We start from the raw sequence: 19,167 nt of genomic DNA, 5'->3' as shown, positions 1-19,167 counted from the left end.
AGTTCAACCACTGTGGAAGACAGTGTGGCAATTCCTCAAGGATCTAGAACTAGAAATACCATTTGAACCAGCCATCCCATTACGGGGTATCTACCCAAAGGATTATAAATCATGCTGCTATAAAGACACATGCACTGAAAATTTCAAATGGAGACAGTATGGGTGGAATTCCTGAAGCATAAGGCCCTTTCTTCCTCAATTCATTAAGATAATTCTATCATGATAAAAATCATAGACTCAAAAGAAGCTTTGAAAGGTTGTATTGTCCATGCTCCTGATTTTAGGTAAAACCATGTATGACCTATCCATAGAAGAGAGCAATTATGCTTGTTTCTAAGCTTTCGAGAAAATGATCATATTTAGCCGTCTCTGACAATGTATCCTGATGTTTAATTACCTTTTCTAGAAGGAAACTCCTGGTATTGTTTTAGAGTTAGTCAGAGCTGGGTTCAAATATCTGTGCCGTCACTCTCTGATCATGTGACTAGCATCAGATTACTGATGCCAAATCTTGCCAAATCTTAATGAACTAATTTGTAGCATGGAAGTAACATCTCCTTACATCATGAGGTGGTTTTAAGGAGTAAAGGAAAACGTGGGCTGGGTGTGGTGCCTTATGCCTGTAATCCCAGCGCTTTCAGAGGCAAAAGCAATGGATTGCTTGAGCCCAGGAGTTAGAGACCAGCCTGGGCAACCCCGTCTTTATAAAAAGTACAAAACTTAGAGGGCTAGTGGTGTGCACCTGTTGTCCCAGCTACTAGGGAGGCTGAGGTGATTGCTTGAGCCAAGCAGGTCGAGGCTGCGGTGAGCCATGATCATGCCACTGCACTCTAGCCTGGGTGACCCTGTCCCAAAACAAAATACAAGTGCAGTACCTGCCATAGAAAAGGCCCTCAGTGCATATTACTTCCTTGTTCCTATTTTACCTAACCTGACATCTCATATTGCATTCCTGGTGCCAGAGGAAGAATGTTCAATGGCTAACCATTCCCTAGGGTGGTAGATAGCATGGCACAACTGAAAGATTCGGCACACACTTTAATGATAAACTGGCATGCCACCCTCAGAATAGCAAGATAAAAGGGGAAAGCATTTAGTGTGTCACACCAGGTTGTGGGAGAATCAGTAGTTCCTGAAAATTCTTTGCTAGGTACGATTTGACATTGTACTTGGGACTTCGGACAAAGTAGCTTTATGTCAAGTCCCCTAAATAGTGAGGGAAGACAATTTCTTGGAAAACCAACCTCAACTACTTTGCAGTATTGGGTGAGAGAGTGGGAAACATGATCCTGGTGGAAAGCTGCGAGTTACAAGCACAAATGGCAGAGGAGGGAAAATCTGGATTTGTTGGTTGAGACAACAATAGCAGTCCTGGATGAGCCACATTGGGAGCATTGCACAGTAGGTAGAGGACCTTTGAGGTCTTGCATGTGTACTCCTAAGAGATGCAGGAAGTTCCTCCTTTAGTGGTGGCTGTGCCTTCACTGGGGCTAGGACGTTTCTGGACCCACAACTGCAGTGTGATGCAAAGACCTTCAACATGACACAAGAGAACATATTTTAAAAAGAGATCTAGACTTGAAAACTGGTCTCCATGAGCACAGTAAAGTTAACTGGAACTCTCACACCACGTGTTTGGGAAGTGGGACTCGCTGAGAAAATGTTAGAATAATTTTCAAATATATGAAGAGTTACAAAGAGCAATGATTGCAACTTCAAAGAAAGGGAGAGCCGGGCATGGTGTCTCATGCCCGTAATCCAGCACTTTGAGATGCAGAGGCAGGAGGATGGCTTGAGACCAGTTCGAGACCAACCTGGGCAACATGGTGAATCCCAATCTCTGCTAAAAAATACAAAAATTAGCCGGGTATGGTGGTGCATGACAGTAGCCCCAGCTATTCTGGAGGCTGAGGTGGGAGGATCGCTTGAGCCTGGGAGGTTGAGGCTTCAGTGAGCCATGATCGCTCCACTGCACTCCAGCCTGGGTAACAGAATGAGACCCTGTCTCAAAAACAAAAGAGAAAGGCCGATTCCAAATGATGCTCAAATTATGGGAGATGTGATTCCAATTTGATTTGAGAAGAACTTCCTGACAATAAGAGTTATTTATTAAAAATAAAGAGGAGGGTAAGGGAGGAGAGGGGGAAGGAATGGGAAGGGGAAGGGGAAGAAGAAATTGTGATGAATCTCCTACATATCTTAGATACAAAGGCAGGCATCTCTTCACTATAAAATGAGCATAATCATTCCTGAATATCAAAGAGCTGGGTTTTATCTTTCCATCATTGTTTCATGCACCAAAGAGATACTGTGTACATAGCTTATGCCAGGTACGGTGTTGAGGTCTAGCATGATAGGAATGACAGACACAGGCCAGGTACTCAAAGAGCTCACCGATTGGTGCCTGATGCTCAATAACGGGTTGTTAAATAAATGTGTAAATAGAGATGTGTAAACAGATAAATTAGAATACAATGACATAAGTATTAATAGCTTCTTCCATAGTACTTTGTTTATATTTCTAACTGTGGGAGTGCTTTGCAGAAGATGTGCTGTTTGGGCTGCATCTTGAAAGAGGATTATTGGTTTGCAGGATGGGCACTGAAGGGGTGGGACACTCCCCTCCCACACACACACACACACACAGACACACCCCTGCCCCCCGCCAATGTGCACACACACACACACACAGACATACCCCCTGCCAACGTGCACACACACACACACATATCCCCCACCAACGCACACACACACACACAGACATACCCCCGCCCCCCGCCAACGGGCACACACACACACCAGAGGCATGGTGCCTGGGCTATTTGATCACTGAGTACAGTGTGATTGGATTAAAGGTTATACCGTAAAGGTTGAGAAGGTCAGTGATCAAAGAGGAGGCTAGAGGAGAATGGGGTACATAAATCCTGGTCCTTTAAAGTATCTCTTGAGCTCCTAGTGACTAACACTTTACTATAAGTCAAGTCCTTCTGTATTGAATACTCCCTTGATCTGTCCTGAAAATGGGACACTCCTTCTTGGCCCTAACTTGTAAATTAAAAAAAAAAAACAAAAGAATCATAACTTATTCTAAAAGATAGGTGTGGGTGAGGAAATTCTTCAACTAGGGAATATTTTAACATCAACGTCAGCTATTCATGAACATCCCTTCTTTTTCAGAAGTGATACACTTGGGATCATGATACAGAAAGCTGAGCAAGCCTGGGCATTGGCTTCTACCCAGGGAGTGGTAGAACTTGGTGTAGGAAGTAGATGAGAAGGGTTTTTCAATGAGGTTGGAGCGCCATAACACAGCAAACTTGTCACTGAGCCCCTGTCAACTTATTTTGTCGCATAAAAATCTCAACTGTGCACAGAGAGGAGGTGACTGTTGGAAATTAGAAGTTCAAGGAACAAGCCTCTGGCAGACACTGGCTTTTAGAACTTAGGGTCTCTCCCACCAGGAAAATATGTGAGTGAGGGAAGGAGAGGCTGGGAGCTGGAGTAAATCAACTCAGAAAAGCCTTCCCTGCGATAACTGTGTGTGAGTACCTTCTATTTTTCAGGCACTGTGCTAATGCTGGAAGGCAAATACCACACATTCCCTGCCTGCAAGAGTCCCATGTTTTCCTCATGAGACAGACATTTCCTCGGGAAGACAAATTACTAAGCATGAGATAAATATGAGGTCACTAGAAGGGCCCCTAACTTCCCTTAAAAGGGAGAGGTTCGGAGGTCAAGAAGCAGGGGACTCCAGAACTGAGACTTAACAAGGGAAAGCATTCCAGAGATGGTGGTGAGATTCAAGAAATGGACTTGTTTGGTATGGCTGGAGTTTGTGGTTTGTGATGGGGCAAGTATGAGGGCTAAGACCGAAGTAGAGAGAAAAGCAGAAAAGCATATGTTACTCCAGTATTGGAATGTCAACAGTAAACCCTCACAGCCCTACAAGGGATGACGCTGTGGCAGAGCACCCAGTGTCATGCGGCTGTGAGCCAAGGTCCCATGCCCTCTGCATGCACACACAGGCCATCATCCCAGGGCTCCTTCCTATCACTGCAATGCTTATGCTGAAAAAAGCAGGGATGAGCACAATTGTAAAGAGTAATCAGTGTTGTGACTAAATAAACGAACGACACCTGCACATCCTGTTTTGGGAAATGAGTCAAATTAGTGAAACAAGTTGAATAATCACTGCCAATGCCAATCTCAGCCACTGCAGCGACGCTGGTCATTTCTAGTTTTAATGAGTGGCTTTGTGATCAGTGTTCATTCATATGAGTGAAGGAGAATTTTAGGTTTATGTTTTATTTTCAGTCACACATGTAATACGTCATCATTGTCAGGGAATTAAATAGTTTTGCAAAAATAAAAAACCTAAGGTTACTCTAAACATAGAAATGACTGTTAATATTTTGGTGTTATACACTTTCAGCCTTTCAGGAGTACATATATTTACAAAAGCTATTATTTCTTCTCTTAGTTTACATTTGACTTTTTAAGTTTTTTCCCTTTGTCCCCCTTTTTTTTGAAGGGGGAGCTAGTTTTGCTATATGGCCTGAGTTTTTCTTTGATTCCTTTCCCCCACCCCACCTAGGGGATTTGGAAGGTGTGGTACCTGTCTTAAGTTCCTCTGATAGTTACTATCAGGTGTTTAAGTAATATTAATACATGTTTAAAATCTATGTTCTAAACCTCAGGTTTCCCCAATTATGAATAGTGAGGACAAACAATCCATTGATTCACCCCTGTGTACAAATAAGAAATTACCATACTTTCCTCCTCCAGCTTCCCACGAATACCACCTCAACCTCCCAGTTTTTGTTGTTCTAGTTTAAGATTGTTGTCCCAGTCTAGACTAATTGAATTATTGATTCTCACATGTGTGGACCTCTTGTTTCAAGATTAATATTTACATTCTTCTTAGAAATTGTTATTTTAAAATGTTCATGTGCCTCCATTTCCACACTCTTGGTTAATCTCAGTTATCATGGAGAACATTGGCGATCTAGAGCCCTTCCCTGGCTGAAAATATCTTCTTGCTGCCTTCACTTACTATGGACAGCTTGGGCTGATAAAAGAATTTAGGAATCCTAAAATCACCATTCTCCCTGAAAACCGCATAGACAAATGTCATTGGTATCTTGTTTTCCAGGGGCCCTATTTCTTTGTCCAAGATTTTGAGAAGTGTCTTCTTCTTAGAGTTAATATTCAGTAGATCCAAGTGTTTTTCTATTTTCAGTAAGTCCATAGTAAAAGCCTTTTAAACTGGAGATATTTTTTCATTTAAGGGAAATTTTCTTCCATATAAATTTTTGAAATGGTTTCTGTTGCCTGGGTTCTAACTACTTCCTCTTCTGCTTCCCCTGGTGCATCTGCTGTGTATACTAAGTCCATGTTCTTAGTCCATCTTTTTTCCTTTGATCACTTTCACTTGCCTTTTTCCTCCCTCTGAACTCTGGTGACTGTCTCAAGTTTGTGCTGACCTTTTGAGTTACTAAACCAGATTGATTTTCAGCATCATCTCAGGATATTTTTGCAAATAGAGATTTCTTAGCCTGACCCAAGACCCACTGAATCAAAATTTCCTACATTTGACCCTAGGAATGTATATTTTATGCGTCTTTCCCTACCTTCATATTCCTTCTTTTTTTTCTATTTTTATAGAGTTGGCAGGTACACGTGCAGATTTCTTACACACATGTGTTGTGTGGTGGTGGAGTCAGGGCTTTTACTATACTTGTCCCCCAAATAGTGAACATTGTACCCGATAGGTAATTTTTCAACCCTCCCCTTCATATTTCTCATGATCATGTCGCTTGGGAACCACTGTCCGTCCCACTTTTCTAGTTTAATCTGTTTCATTAAGGGATGATTCTCCTCTTTACTGCTTTTCATTGAGTTTTAAATTCTGCAGTGTAATTATTTGCTTACTTATATTCCTTTTTTAAGATAAGATACCTTTTTATCTCAATCTGTTGCCTCATTACCTGTCTTTCAGCAAGTTTGTGGTTTGAATAATTACTTTGAGGATACATTAAACTTTTGTATTTCTCTTGTGATCAGTCTCTTCCAAAGTATATGATTCTTTAATCTTTTGTATGTTATGTTTATTTCCTCCTTTTGTGTTGAGGAACTTTCTTCATTCCATGTTTGGGACCTACTTTAAAACTCACTCTTCAGTGGTATCTTAGGTGACTTCTCTGCATTCCCAGGCACTCTTAAGCTGTGATCTGCATGATATGTATTCACATAATAAGTTTTGTCATTCAGCCGCCCAAGGAACATGGAGAAGAGCCAAGTTTGTGAGCAGCCCCAGCAATAGAACTTTGCCTTCACGTTTTTCTACATATCCAGGAACTCTTGCATCAAGGCCTGTGTCTCCATATCTTCTGTATACTTAAATCCAACGTAGCTACATCTTGTGTCTTACATGAAATGTCTACCCATGCAAATTAGCTAGAACTTGCATGAGTTGGGATGATATCCTGTCTAGTTCCAGAATGGTTGTTCTATTTCTTTCAGAATGGCTACATTGGTGACAATTGGGTTAGAGAAAAATTGTGTGATTGAGCCATGTGCATTTTATTCCCTACACTACATGTTCCATGTTGTTCCATACAAGCGAGTTCTTCTTCCTCCTACAAACTGCCCTTACCCCTCCATCTCAGCCCTCATTAATATTCTTAATATGGGAGAGGTTCTTAATATGAACCTCTCCCATAGATGTTGGAGGAAGTTCACAAAAAAAGTCAAGTAATAGCCAAAACTGTACATAAACCCATCATTCATCTGCAATTATGATGACATAAATTGTGCTATATCTGTGCAATGGAATATAAACCCTAATTAGCCACATGAATCAATATGAATAAATGTGAAAAAGAAAGTTGAGCAAAAGAGTCAAATAATGGAAAACATGCAGCAATGACCCATTCAGATGAATTTCACAAACAGGCAAAGCGACGCAGTACATTGTTTACACTAGAGATATCTACCTAGGTGGTAGAAGCGTTTTTTGTTTTCAAGTGGATAATGAACACAAGTACAGCATAGTGATAATCGTAGATGGAGAGTGAAGGGCGGGGATCAGGGAGATGCACTCCAGACCTTTGAAGATGCCACTGATGTTCCACTTCTGAAGGTCAGGAGCTAATGGACAGGTGTTTGTTTCCTTGCAACTTTTCATAGTAATACTAATTTTTAAAATGATTTTTAAGTTTTGATATAACTTAATTTCATTTATAATAATTTTAATCATAATAATTTTAATAACTCCTTTATATATGATCATTTATAATACAAAAAACCTAAAAGTAAAAATTAAACCATGTAAGAGAAAAATTTGCCAAGGCTGGCCACTCACTGTTCCTTCTGTGGGCCACTCCACTGTGGCCTTAGATGACCTTATGTCCAAGATAGGGAAGGGGTTTCTGCAGAGTACCATGTTCCTTCCACTCATCTATGTTGCCCAACTTCCTAATTTAGTGATTTTTTTTGTTTACTTTTCCAAAATTTCTTCCTCTTAATCTTTAGCAAACAACTGTGCTGCACTCTTAGGAGGTGACGTACATGTTTTTCCTCAATTCGAGGCTGTTTACGTGGCATCTGATGCAGGTTTCTAGATGCTTATAAAATGCCTTTGTTGAGCAACCTACTTTAGCGCTGAGGAGAAGCTTTTTCTTATGCCTCCTCCTCTTTGGATTACTGAAGGGAGGAAGATGGGATGCTTGCTTTCATGTGAGACCTTCCCTTAGAAACAAAAAAGATGGCTAGTGTTACACATAGGATGATATGACCAGTGATATGACTATGAACAAGGAAGAGCATCATTTCAAGCAGCACTGTGTGCATACCATAATACCTACAGATGAGAACAGTGAGGCTCAGTGAGTTCCATGACTTCTCACTGTTGATGTCAAGGGCAAAAGCTAAATTCAAACACAGCCCGAGATCCACCTGCTATGCACTACATCACACTGCCTTATACTTTAAGTCTGTGGTCAATGGAGGTTGAAGACACTTTCAGTCATTCATCATATTTTTGTTGCGTACCTCCTATGTGCTGGGCCAGGATATCGTCACACTTAAAATATAGAATAGAACATGGGCATTAAAGAAAGAATTGCACAAATAATTATTAAATAACAGTTGTGAATGAATTGCTTTATAATTGTACATAAGGGGGGAACCTAGATTACCGGGTTATGGAAAGGATTTATTAATGAAGTTGCCAATAATCTGAAACAGAATTGAAAAACCAGGAAAGCAGAGAAGCAGGGAGAATAGCAGTGTAATAGAGGGCACAGCCTGTAGGAAGAGCCCAGAGACTAGAAATAAGTTGGTATGAAGAAATTAGCAGAAGCACATAGTAAGGAAGGCCCAAGATGGGAAGCAATAAAATTTGTAACCTCTCATAAAGCTACAATCAGGATTTTGGTTTCAGCCTAAAAGTAAGGCAAGTTTCTGTGGGGTTTAAAGAAGGGAGGAGGCACGGTCATGTCTATTGGTTGTCTACTGAAAAAGGTGAAGAGAGCAGACCATGTTATTCCTGAGCCAAGATATAATCAGGAATTACTGACATATATGAACTGTTTGTTACATTATTATATATTTGCTTATAAATATATAGTATCTATAATAAGACTCTTTAAACAGGTGAAAATATGTCACCCACAGTCTGCATTTTGAAGATCGAAAACAGATCTGGCAAACCTTAAAAGCAATCCCTGGCATTCACAACTTTTCAAGCTCAAGATTCCTCTTCTGAATGGGAGATGTCAGGACCTTGGTGCAAGCCCCATCAATCAGGCCATCTTTGCCAGTCAGACTTGCCCACCCTTCTGCCAATAAAAGGTTGGGGCCTTCAACCCTGAATACTCCTTAAGATCTTCAAAGGGCCACAGATATGTACCATATGGCAAAATAAATGGGTCTTTATTTTAAATCAACATTTTATTATTATAGAGCCTTATTCCATGATTTTGAAAGGACCCATTTAGAAGTTATTTTTAAGTATCAGAGAATTAATTTCAATGAAACTTCACTTGATTTCCCATCATCTTTCCCCTCTTCCTCGACATTTATCCATTGTTCTTCCATATACTGGGAGACTGCTGATTGTTCTCCAGAACAATCCCATGTGGAGTAACTAATGGTTTAATTGACACCTGTTTATAGGGTATCTATGGCATGGGGATACTATGTCTTATGCTTTGGATGTGAATGACAAAGACAGATGAGTCAGATTTTCTGCTTTCAAGAGAATTCAAGCCTCGGAAGAGGAGATCAGAGCATCCCAAAACACTGTGATGAAGGGCTACAGAGATGGAGAACACATTCTGGATTTTCAGAAGCAAGAAAGAAGCCAGGAGGACTTTCAATTATTTGGATCTCTGTCAGTAGGAATTATTTTTTCAGGAGGTCGTTTAAAAAACACACACACACAGAAACAAAAAGCTGCAAGCCCATGCTCCTGAAAAATCAATCACATTAGAATTCTAAGCAGTCCATTCTTGTATTCCCTATGTAATTCCCTCACTGAGTCCATCTTTTTGAACAAATCTCTGACGTAGTAGTGCATCTGTGGGGGATCACTCATGTGCATGTCAGCAGGCCACTGCATGGTTACTTTACAGAAGGGACCAAAATAGCTATTTTCTAGTTGCTTTCATTGTTGACTTGCTTCACTGTAAATGGGATATAAAGCTGGCTATGTTAAGCTAATTATACGTAAGCATTTATATTCTGCTGCTAAATGGAATCATGTAGAAGGCATCCCCCTGTCCCAAAAGAATGGAACATGTAACCATAATAAGCATTTTTTAATTAGATGAAGCACCTTGCTGCCTTTTATGGAGAATGATTTATTAGGCCAGTTTTGCACCCCATTGCCACAAAGTATCTGACGAACCAGGAAAACATATGTGGGTCCTGCAGGATTAAATTTGGTTTGATACTCAGGATAAAACCCCAGATACCTTAAAGTAACAATTCCTTAGTTGGGGGGCTAGAGGGAGGATGGTGATCTCTACTAAGCATCAATTCATATACAGATTGATAAACTTTTAAATTCCTCACAGATACACATTCCTAAATAAGCTGAAATGGCTCTCTTTCCCTGTTCTTGGGTACTTGTCATCCTCCTGGAAATCTAAAGCAATGTAAGTCACTCAGTCATCAGAGCAGACATATAGTATAACCCGGGATATACTTTGGGTGTAAAAATAGATAATCTTCCCCAAGCCTTCCCCTAACTTGGGACCCTGAGTTTTTGGCTTCTTTTAGGAGGTGACATTTCACTACTTTCCCCTAAGTCATGGTAATTTTATGTCAATCCTGGTCCTGGAACCGTTGTTCCTGAGTTCCTTATGAGAAAACTTAGTTGTCATTTGCATTTTCAATCCCTGCAATGGATTGGCAGGCATTAGAGAGTTAATCCATCCTCTAGCAATAATTCATAAGTATATACATATATGTATCCAATTCAACAGTGGAGCAGGGCACTATTATTAAGAAATTGAAGCACCAGGTGTGATTAAGTAATATCACACATTTCATTCTCTCTAATTTCACATCATTCTTCAGCAGCTGAATCCATGGGCTTCCGGCGTGAAGTCAGCCAGCACCATGCATTTTTAGTATGCTCAGCAGAGCGCTGGCAAAATGTTTCCAAAGTAAGCCGCCCTGCTGGGCTGTTGTAAGTCAAATCTGGTTTTTGCCTCCAAATTATTCAGTATTGCTAGACCTGGTTTATTAATCCATTCATCTCCCTAGAGAGTAAGACTTCTGGTACTTTTACATCATTGATGTTCAATTTCAGCTAAAAATACTTTCAAAAATAGAGAGGACTACAATCAAGGATAAAGAAACAATTAGGTTGCCAGGGGCCTGGGGTTGGGAGCAGTGAGGAGATGTTGGTCAAAGGGCACATGCTTTCAGTCATGATAAGATCTGGAGACCAAATGCACAGCATCATAACTATAGTTAATAATACTGCATGGCGTACTTGAAATTTGCTGAGAGATCTTAAGTGTTCTTGCCACACACACAAAAAAGATAACTGTGTGAGTTGATAGATATGCTAATTAATTTGATTGTGGCAAGCATTTTACAAGGTACACATATGTCAAAATATCACATTTTATACCTTAAATATATTTCATTTTTACTTGTCAATTATACCTCAATAAACCCGGGGGAGCAAAGAAATAATTAGGAGAAGTCTTCACAGCTTCCTTCTCACTCTCTCCCCTCGTTTCTTCCTTAGTTCTCCTTCCACCCCAACTCTGCTTCTAGGATTAGGAGTTAGAAATGGCATTAATACCTTTCCTTTGCAAGCATGTCCCAAGAAGCTACATTTGTGGCATTCCTGCTCCTATTTAAAAAATGAAATTAGGGTAAGGAGGCAATTCTCAAATTAGGGTTCCATTGCCACATCTCTGCTGTTTAGCAGCAAATAGCTTGGGCTCACGAGACTAAAGCAGTATCCCTGTGTTGAAAAGCAGGCAGTAGTCACATACATACCCAGCATACCAATAAGCACCAGCATAGATGCAGGCTCTGGAGAGAGAAGAGTAGCCATCTCTTCCCAGTCATGTTTGCTCTTCCTTTGCAACAAGAGGCAAATCCCTATGACCAGTTGTGAGTCAACTGCATAGCATGGTGTAGGTTAATTCATTCCACAAATACAGATTGAATAGCCATGTGCCAGGTACTGTTCTAGGCAGCACTGGACATACATGATCACTACTCTGATGAAGCTTATCACTGTCTGTGACATGACCTCCGCTTACTGCACCATTCTCATCTTCTCCCCCAGTGGACTCTGTTAACATCAGGCATATAGAATCACTTGCGGTCCCATGAACACCATGCTCTTTCCTGCTTCTGTTTACTTTGGCCCATGCGACTGGGCAATCTTCTTTCTACCCATTTGTCTGTCTAACTTCAATTCAAATGTCAGGTCTCACTTCCTCCACATGCCTTCTCTGGGCTTACCCCTACTTTAAGTTCACAGCAATATCTTCTTGTTTTTCATCCCTACTATAACCTTTTCAAGGGTAGGCATGGTGTCTTATTCATTATAGTTCACCTTCTGTTTGAGATGTAGTGGGTACTCAATAAATATTTATTGAATTAATTATTAAATTCACTTATATCCTTGAATACAGTCCACATGCACTCGTTTGCCCTCCAGGTAATCCTTGTAAGACCCACAAGATAGCTGTTAAATAGAAAGCAGAAAAATTGTGACATTTATAATCTTGATCACCTTAATTGTAGTCAGAATTAACAACTCCGTGTACTTTCTTATGAAAATCACCTTCCCTCCCTGGTATGCTTTTTAATAAGAATGGAACCCCTTGGCAAAATTAAATTGGAACTGTTAGAAATATTAGGTGGTTCTTTGTTGAAATCTTTTCTGGAGAATTATTAAGCCTGTGCCTTCCTTACCGAATACAGATTAAAATTTATTTTAAAATAAGGAGAAGAAGAAACAGACATAACTATTAAAAATAGACATGCACATAGATAAAAGTTAGAAGGAATCGGCAAAAATGAATGAGCTTTCTTTGGGTAATGGGATTAAGGGTACATTTTCCTTTTGTCAAAATGTTATTTAGTATTTTGTAATTTTTAAGGAAAAAGTATTAAAAAGAAAACAATAATCTTCTTGAAAAAAACCTGTATGTATAGGAGGTTTTTATTTTACTCATATGAGTCCAAGTGAATTAAAGGTTTCCCCTGTGCAAACAAGTATTGCCAGTGATGTTGTGTTGTACAGATTTTTTTTTGAGACAGGATCTCGCTACTATTATCCTCATTTTACAGGGAAGGAAAGTGAGGCATAAAGAAGACAGGGTCTCACTCTGTCACCCAGGCTGGAGTGCAGTGGCGTGATCTCAGCTCACTGCAACCTCTGCCTCCCAGGTTCAAGTGATCCTCCCACCTCAGCCTCTTGAGTAGCTGGGACTACAGGTGTGTGTCACCACACCCAGCCAATTTTTATAATTTTTTTTTTTAGTAGAGATGTAGTTTTGCTATGTTGCCCAGGCTCATTTCAAACTCCTGGCTTCAAGCAATCCACCCAACTCGGCCTCCCAAAGTGCTGGGATTACAGGAATCAGCCACCACGTTCGGTGTAGATTTTTTTAAATCTCAGGACTTTTTTCAGCAAGATATCCATGCATTCATTCAACAGATATTAGACATCCTATGTCAGACATTCTACTAGACATTTGTTTTCTCTGTATTAATAATATGATGACAAATGCATGCAGCACTTGTCACCTCCCAACACTGTTCATTCCCATACATTAGATCTATCTCTCACAATTTATAATATAAATAGGGCATATATATTTGTTAAACAAACACTAGCTGCTGTAACAAATATATTCCAAAAAGTTAATGGCTTAGTTCTTTCTCATTTAACAGTCCTAATCAAAGGCTGCAGGTCAGTGGGTGACTCTGTTCCACATTTAGGACTCCAGTCTGACAGCAGCTCTACCATCTCTAATGTGCCATTTTTGAGATTGCTCCAGTCCTTGCCGTTCCAGCCTGACTAAAGGGCCTTCAACAAGTAAACACAGGTTACAGACATCACTTGTGTTTACATTCTGTTGGCAAGACCTGAATCCCACCTGCTTCAAGGGAAGTTTCGAATTATAGTCTTGTCTTATGAAGGAAAGAATGGATTTTGGTGAGTAGCAGTCTCTGCCACAACAAATATTTTTAAATTTTTTTTAATTTAAAAAATGATGAAGATGTAAGATTAAAAACCTAAGGCTCAGAGAGGTTGACTTGCATAAAATCACCCAGCTAAACGTGAACAGTTAAACAAGAACTGGAAGTGGGGCTCCTGAATGCTAGATCAATGTCTCTTCCATCACTTGGATAGTAAAATACTGGCTTGGTGGAAACTTTACCCATGGATACCATGTGTACTGCCTACGTGAATGTGAACTGTTATACCACAGCCCAGGATTTTATATTCAGGTCTAGCTTTACTTGGTTCAGCCTACGACAGAGAGAAGGGTCTTTTTAGTACATGAAGAAAAGCTAAATGCTGTCTTGTAAACATTTTAATGTAAGTAATGTGTTTGGCTTTCCACCAGCTCCAGAACATGACTGAGAACAGACTAATGAAACCCATACCTACGTTAAAAGCTGATGAACTGCCCACAGGCATGTAGCCAGGGATCTCCCTTATAACTTCAGTTGCTCCCTATTCAGTGGTTCATTTAATGAATATTTATGAAGAGCTTATTATGTGGTGGGCATGCAGCAACAGAGGGGACCCAGACAGACACAGCCCCCATCACTATGGAGCCCACTACAGACATAAGAACCAATAAAATGATCACAAATTGTGACAAAGAATGCTGAGAGAGAGAGTAATTGTGGGAGGCCTATTTCAGAGACACCTCTGAGAAGGCATTTCTGAGGAGGAGGTTTTTAAGCTGAGTCCCAAAGGGTAGAGGAAAGAGTAATTGTGGGAGGCCTATTTCAGAGACACCTCTGAGAAGGCATTTCTGAGGAGGGGGTTTTTAAGCTGAGTCCCAAAGGGTGGAGGAGTCAGTAAGGTGAACAGGAGGGATAATCTTCCAGATTGCAAGACAATTTGAATGGCAGCTCTGGGGGAAGAAGAATGTGGCACATTGAGGAACTGAAGGCATTCTGTGTGGCCAAGGGTATTGAGTGAGTAGAAAGTGTTCAAGTTAATAACAACTAAAGTATTTATATTTAAACCTTACAATTACCTGTGAGAGGGCTTATTATTATCATCCTCATTTTACAGAGAAGGAAACTGAGGCATAAGGAAATTAAATGGTTAAATAGCTTGCCTAATGTCACATAGCTCATAAATAGGAAGGCCAGGATTTAAACCCAAGGAGTGTAGCTCCAAAGTTTACCCCTACACACTGCATTATGCTGTCATACTGCCATAGGAAGACTCAAAACCTTCCACTATCTACGAACAACTTTTTCTTTTCATTTTTTCTTTTGAGACAGAGTCACACTCTGTTGCCCATGCTAGAGTGCAGTGGTGTGATCTTGGCTCAATGCAACTTCCATCTCCTAGGTTCAAGCAATTCTCCTGCCTCAGCCTCCCGAGTGGCTGGGATTACAGGCATGTGCCACCACGTCCCGCTAATTTTTGTATTTTTAGGAGAGACGGGGTTTCACCATATTCGCCAGACTGGTCTTGAACTCCTGACCTCAAGTGATCTGCCCACCTCAGCTTCCCAAAGTGCTGAGATTACAGGCGTGAGCTACTGTGCCAAGCCTACTTTTCTTTAAAAAAAAACCAAAAAAAAAAAAAACAAAAAAAAAACACCTCTTTTCCCTTAGCAAGGGATTCTTAACCTGAGATCCTTGGATCCATTCCTTTCTCAAGGAACCATGGAAAGAATTCAGGAGGGCTGATGAAGAATATATATATATATATATATATATATATATATATATATATATTTATTATCTATGATATATATGTTATATATATCATATATATTATATATGTTATTATATATGTATTCATCAACTTCTTGCTGAAATTCAACTTTTTATTACAAATGTAGGGTACAAAACTCAATATTCTTAGCAATACATGTGACTTTGTCACCAGGTCACAGGTGATTTTTTTATCACATAAAGGTTGCTGAAGATACCTAGAGATATCATTTGTTTGCACTCATCACTACTTCCAAATATGGTATTATTTCTGCCAATAATTAATGCATTGACAAAGACACACATGCATTGTTCTGTTATAGATTTTTATATATATATATATATTTTTATTATACTTTAAGTTCTAGGGTACATGTGCACAATGTGCAGATTTGTTACATATATATACATGTACCGTGTTGGTGTGCTGCACCCATTAACTCATCATTTACGTTAGGTATATCTCCTAATGCTATCCCTCCCCACCCCCCCCACCCCACGACAGGCCCCGGTGTGTGATGTTCCCCTTCCTGTGTCCAAGTGTTTTCATTGTTCAATTCTAACCTCTGAGTGAGAACATGCAGTGTTTGGTTTTTTTAAAAAACTATTTTGGTCAATGATTTTTCAATATAACGAGTTGATTTTTGTAATTTTCTATTTTCCTTTTTTTGCATTTAAAAACATTCTTGAAAGAAACAAACAAAAAAAGAAAATAAAAACATTCTTGAAAAGAGACCCAGAGGGTTCAACAGACTGCCACTGGAGTTCATGGCACAAGAAAACATTAGGATCCCTTCCCTTAACCCTTTCTATATTTAAGCTTTTGCCCTCCTTTCTCACAAAGCTAGATTTCTAGAGTCGTCCATGTGAATTTCCTGTACTCTGTCATGTCCCATTTGTTCCACAGTCTGATGTTTTTGGACTTTCACTCTCAACTTTTTTTCACAAGATAGCCATTCTAATATCACTGTAGTCCTCTGAAGTTAAATCAGTACTGTTGAATATTTCCTTTCCATGACATCTGTAGAATTTTGCCACAGTTGATCGCTTTATTTCTTCAAGGGGCTCTCTTGCTTCAGCTTCAGGAAATTCACTCTTCTTTTCCTTACCTACTCTGCAGTTTCTTTACAGGCTCCTCCACTAATCTCTCTTTTAAAAGTAATGATCCAGTATTCTCCTTGGTAAACCACACCTACTCCTAAGATACCAAGTGCACCAATATGCTGATGATTCTAACTCTAGCGAGTTCTAAGCTTCCTTCCTGAATGCCAAGCTGTCCAATGAAGATTTTCACCTTTCTATCCCAGAGGCATCTCAAACTCAGACACCAAATTTAAACTTATATATTATCTCAAACACCAAACCTGCGCTTTTCTCCTGCATCTATCTTTTGATTATTGCCATCAGCCTCTTCCTGATCACTCAGGATTACCCTCAGTTGCTCCCTCTTTCTCACCCCTACTTCTGCTGAACACATAGCTCTTCCTCGTCTGCATCATGGAGGAAGGGAGTCTTATCTGGCCTGAAAATGATGTGTAGCCCTGGGAGAGAAGCAGGTATTCTAAGTATAAGGGTTGGAGCATAATATCAATTTATAACCCCTTGAATTTGCTCTGTAGTTTTAATTACTTGGGCCACAACTTCTGCTAGGAATTTGATAGCTCAGTTATGAATGAAAATTCAAATGTTAGTGGTTTCCTCTCCTTCTCAGAGTGGAGCATGTTGAAAAACAAGTCACCTTTTTCTGCCAGTGTCACACAGAACTCCTTCCCTTGCTGACTAGGAGTTTCTGACTTTTTCATGATTGGAACAGGGTGAAGGGAGAGAAGTGGGTCAGGAAGGTTCTTACTTGATGAATACTGTCATAAGCTGACCCTTGTTCTTGAGGGGTGGCAACTGTTTGTTCTTTGATGGTTTCTTTAGACACTGCCACCATCCCACCACCCCCATTAATGGAGGTGACTCACCTATGGCAAATGCATCTGTGCCCTTGTACAAGTTTATGTTTCTGGAATACTCATGGTAGATATTTATGAACTATACCTTATGGTTTATACTCATAGTATTCCAGCAATGCTCCAGCTTTATGGCTGAGGTGTGTTTTTACTTTTAAGGAGCCTCCCTGGATAGCCCTTCACTTCTCCATACTAACTTTCTCATGCAAGGTGGTCCAGCTCTTACCCACAAGAAATGCTGCTGTAGCCCCTTGCCCTGACAAACCTGGGGACAAACTGTCCCCAGCATCAAAATCTCTCATTTAGTCTGCCACCAGAGCAGTTAGCTAGCCACAGCTTCAGGCTCTTTAGATTTCTCACTTTGTCCCTCAAGCTCCTAAAGACACATGTCACCTTGTTTGAGGGTCCCTTGAAGCCCCCTCCCCAGGGTTGGGGTCAGAAAGGAGTGCCTTCTTCTCTCCCTCAAGCAAATACAAGCAATTTAATATTTTTTTTATTTCAATAGCTTTGGGAATACAAGTGGTTTTTGGTTACATGGATGACTTATATAGAGGTGAATTCTGAGACTTTAATGCACCCATCACCCAAGTAGACTACACTGTATCCAATATGTAGTTTTATATCCTTCACCCACCTCCCACTATCCTGAGTCTCCAAAGTTCTTTATATCATTCTGTATGCTTCTGTGTATTCATAGCTTAGCTCCCACTTACAAGTGAGAACATATGGGTATTTGGTTTTCCATTCCTGAGTTACTTCACTTAGAATCATGGCCTCCAGCTCCATCCAAGTTGCTACAAAAGACATTATTTCATTCCTTTTCTATGCCCAAGTAGTGTTCCATGGTATATATGTATATATATATATATATATATATATATATATATATATATATATATACACATATATCTCCCATATTTTTTTAATCTACTCATTGGCAATTGTGAATTGAGCTGCAATAAACATATGTGTGCACGTGTCTTTTTCATATAATAACTTCTTTGGGTAGATACCCACTAGTGGGATTGCAGGATCAAATGGTATATCCACTTTTAGTTCTTTAAGGTATCTTCATATTGTTTTCCGGAGAGGTTGTAGTAAATTACATTCGCACCAGCAGTGTATAAGTATTCCCCTCTCACCACAACCACACCACCATCTATTGTTTTTTGACTTTTTAATAATGACCACTCCTATAGGAGCAAGGTAGTATCTCATTGTAATTTTAATTTGCATTTTCCTGATGTTTAGTGATGTCGAACTTTTTTAAAACATTTGTTGTCCATTGGTACATCTTCTTTTGAGAAGCGTCTGTTCATGTCATTTGCCTACTTTTTGATGAGATTATTTGTTTTCTTCTTACTGATTTAATGCAAGCAACTTAAGAGATGAAGGATTCTTGCCCACTTTTCTTTATCAAAAATCTCCCACTAAAACATTTTCATTGAAGTATAACACAGAAAAGTACACCTATATTAATTGTACAGTTCACCAAACTTTTACAATTTGAATACCTATGCAACAAGCACCCAGATCAAGAAATAGAACATTACTAGCACCCCAGAAGCCTTTCTTGTTGCACCCTTCCAGCTACTGTCCCCCAAAGATAAATGCCAAATTCTAATAGTAAAGAGTAGCTTCAACTGTTTTTATACTTTATATAAACCGAATTGTACATTATATACTCTTTGTATCTACCTTCTTCAACATTTTCATCATGAGGTTCATGTATTGTCTGCAGTTCTCGATCATTTAT

The 19,167-nt window shown here is 39.7% G+C and overlaps 1 protein-coding gene and 1 long non-coding RNA gene across 10 annotated transcripts in view; one reads left to right on the top strand and one right to left on the bottom strand.

The window, feature by feature from the left end:
* Nucleotides 1-19,167, top strand: part of SAMD12 (sterile alpha motif domain containing 12) — a 490,139-nt gene that overhangs the window by 285,342 nt on the left and 185,630 nt on the right. Inside the window, exon 5 of one of the 8 annotated variants that reach the window (XM_047421780.1) lies at nt 8,656-8,948. The exons of the other annotated variants lie outside the window; for them this stretch is intronic. Coding sequence (XP_047277736.1) covers nt 8,656-8,717 — 62 coding nt within the window. The 3' untranslated portion in view covers nt 8,718-8,948. Of the gene's footprint in view, nt 1-8,655; nt 8,949-19,167 lie in introns of those variants that run through there. 8 annotated transcript variants of the gene reach the window in all.
* The window catches only part of LOC105375724 (uncharacterized), a 141,651-nt gene that overhangs the window by 86,412 nt on the left and 36,072 nt on the right, over nt 1-19,167 (bottom strand). The gene's annotated exons all lie outside the window — the stretch shown is intronic.

Source organism: Homo sapiens, chromosome 8 (assembly GCF_000001405.40).
Source record: "Homo sapiens chromosome 8, GRCh38.p14 Primary Assembly".
NCBI lineage: Eukaryota > Metazoa > Chordata > Mammalia > Primates > Hominidae > Homo > Homo sapiens.
This window is presented reverse-complemented; position numbering and strand designations above follow the sequence as displayed.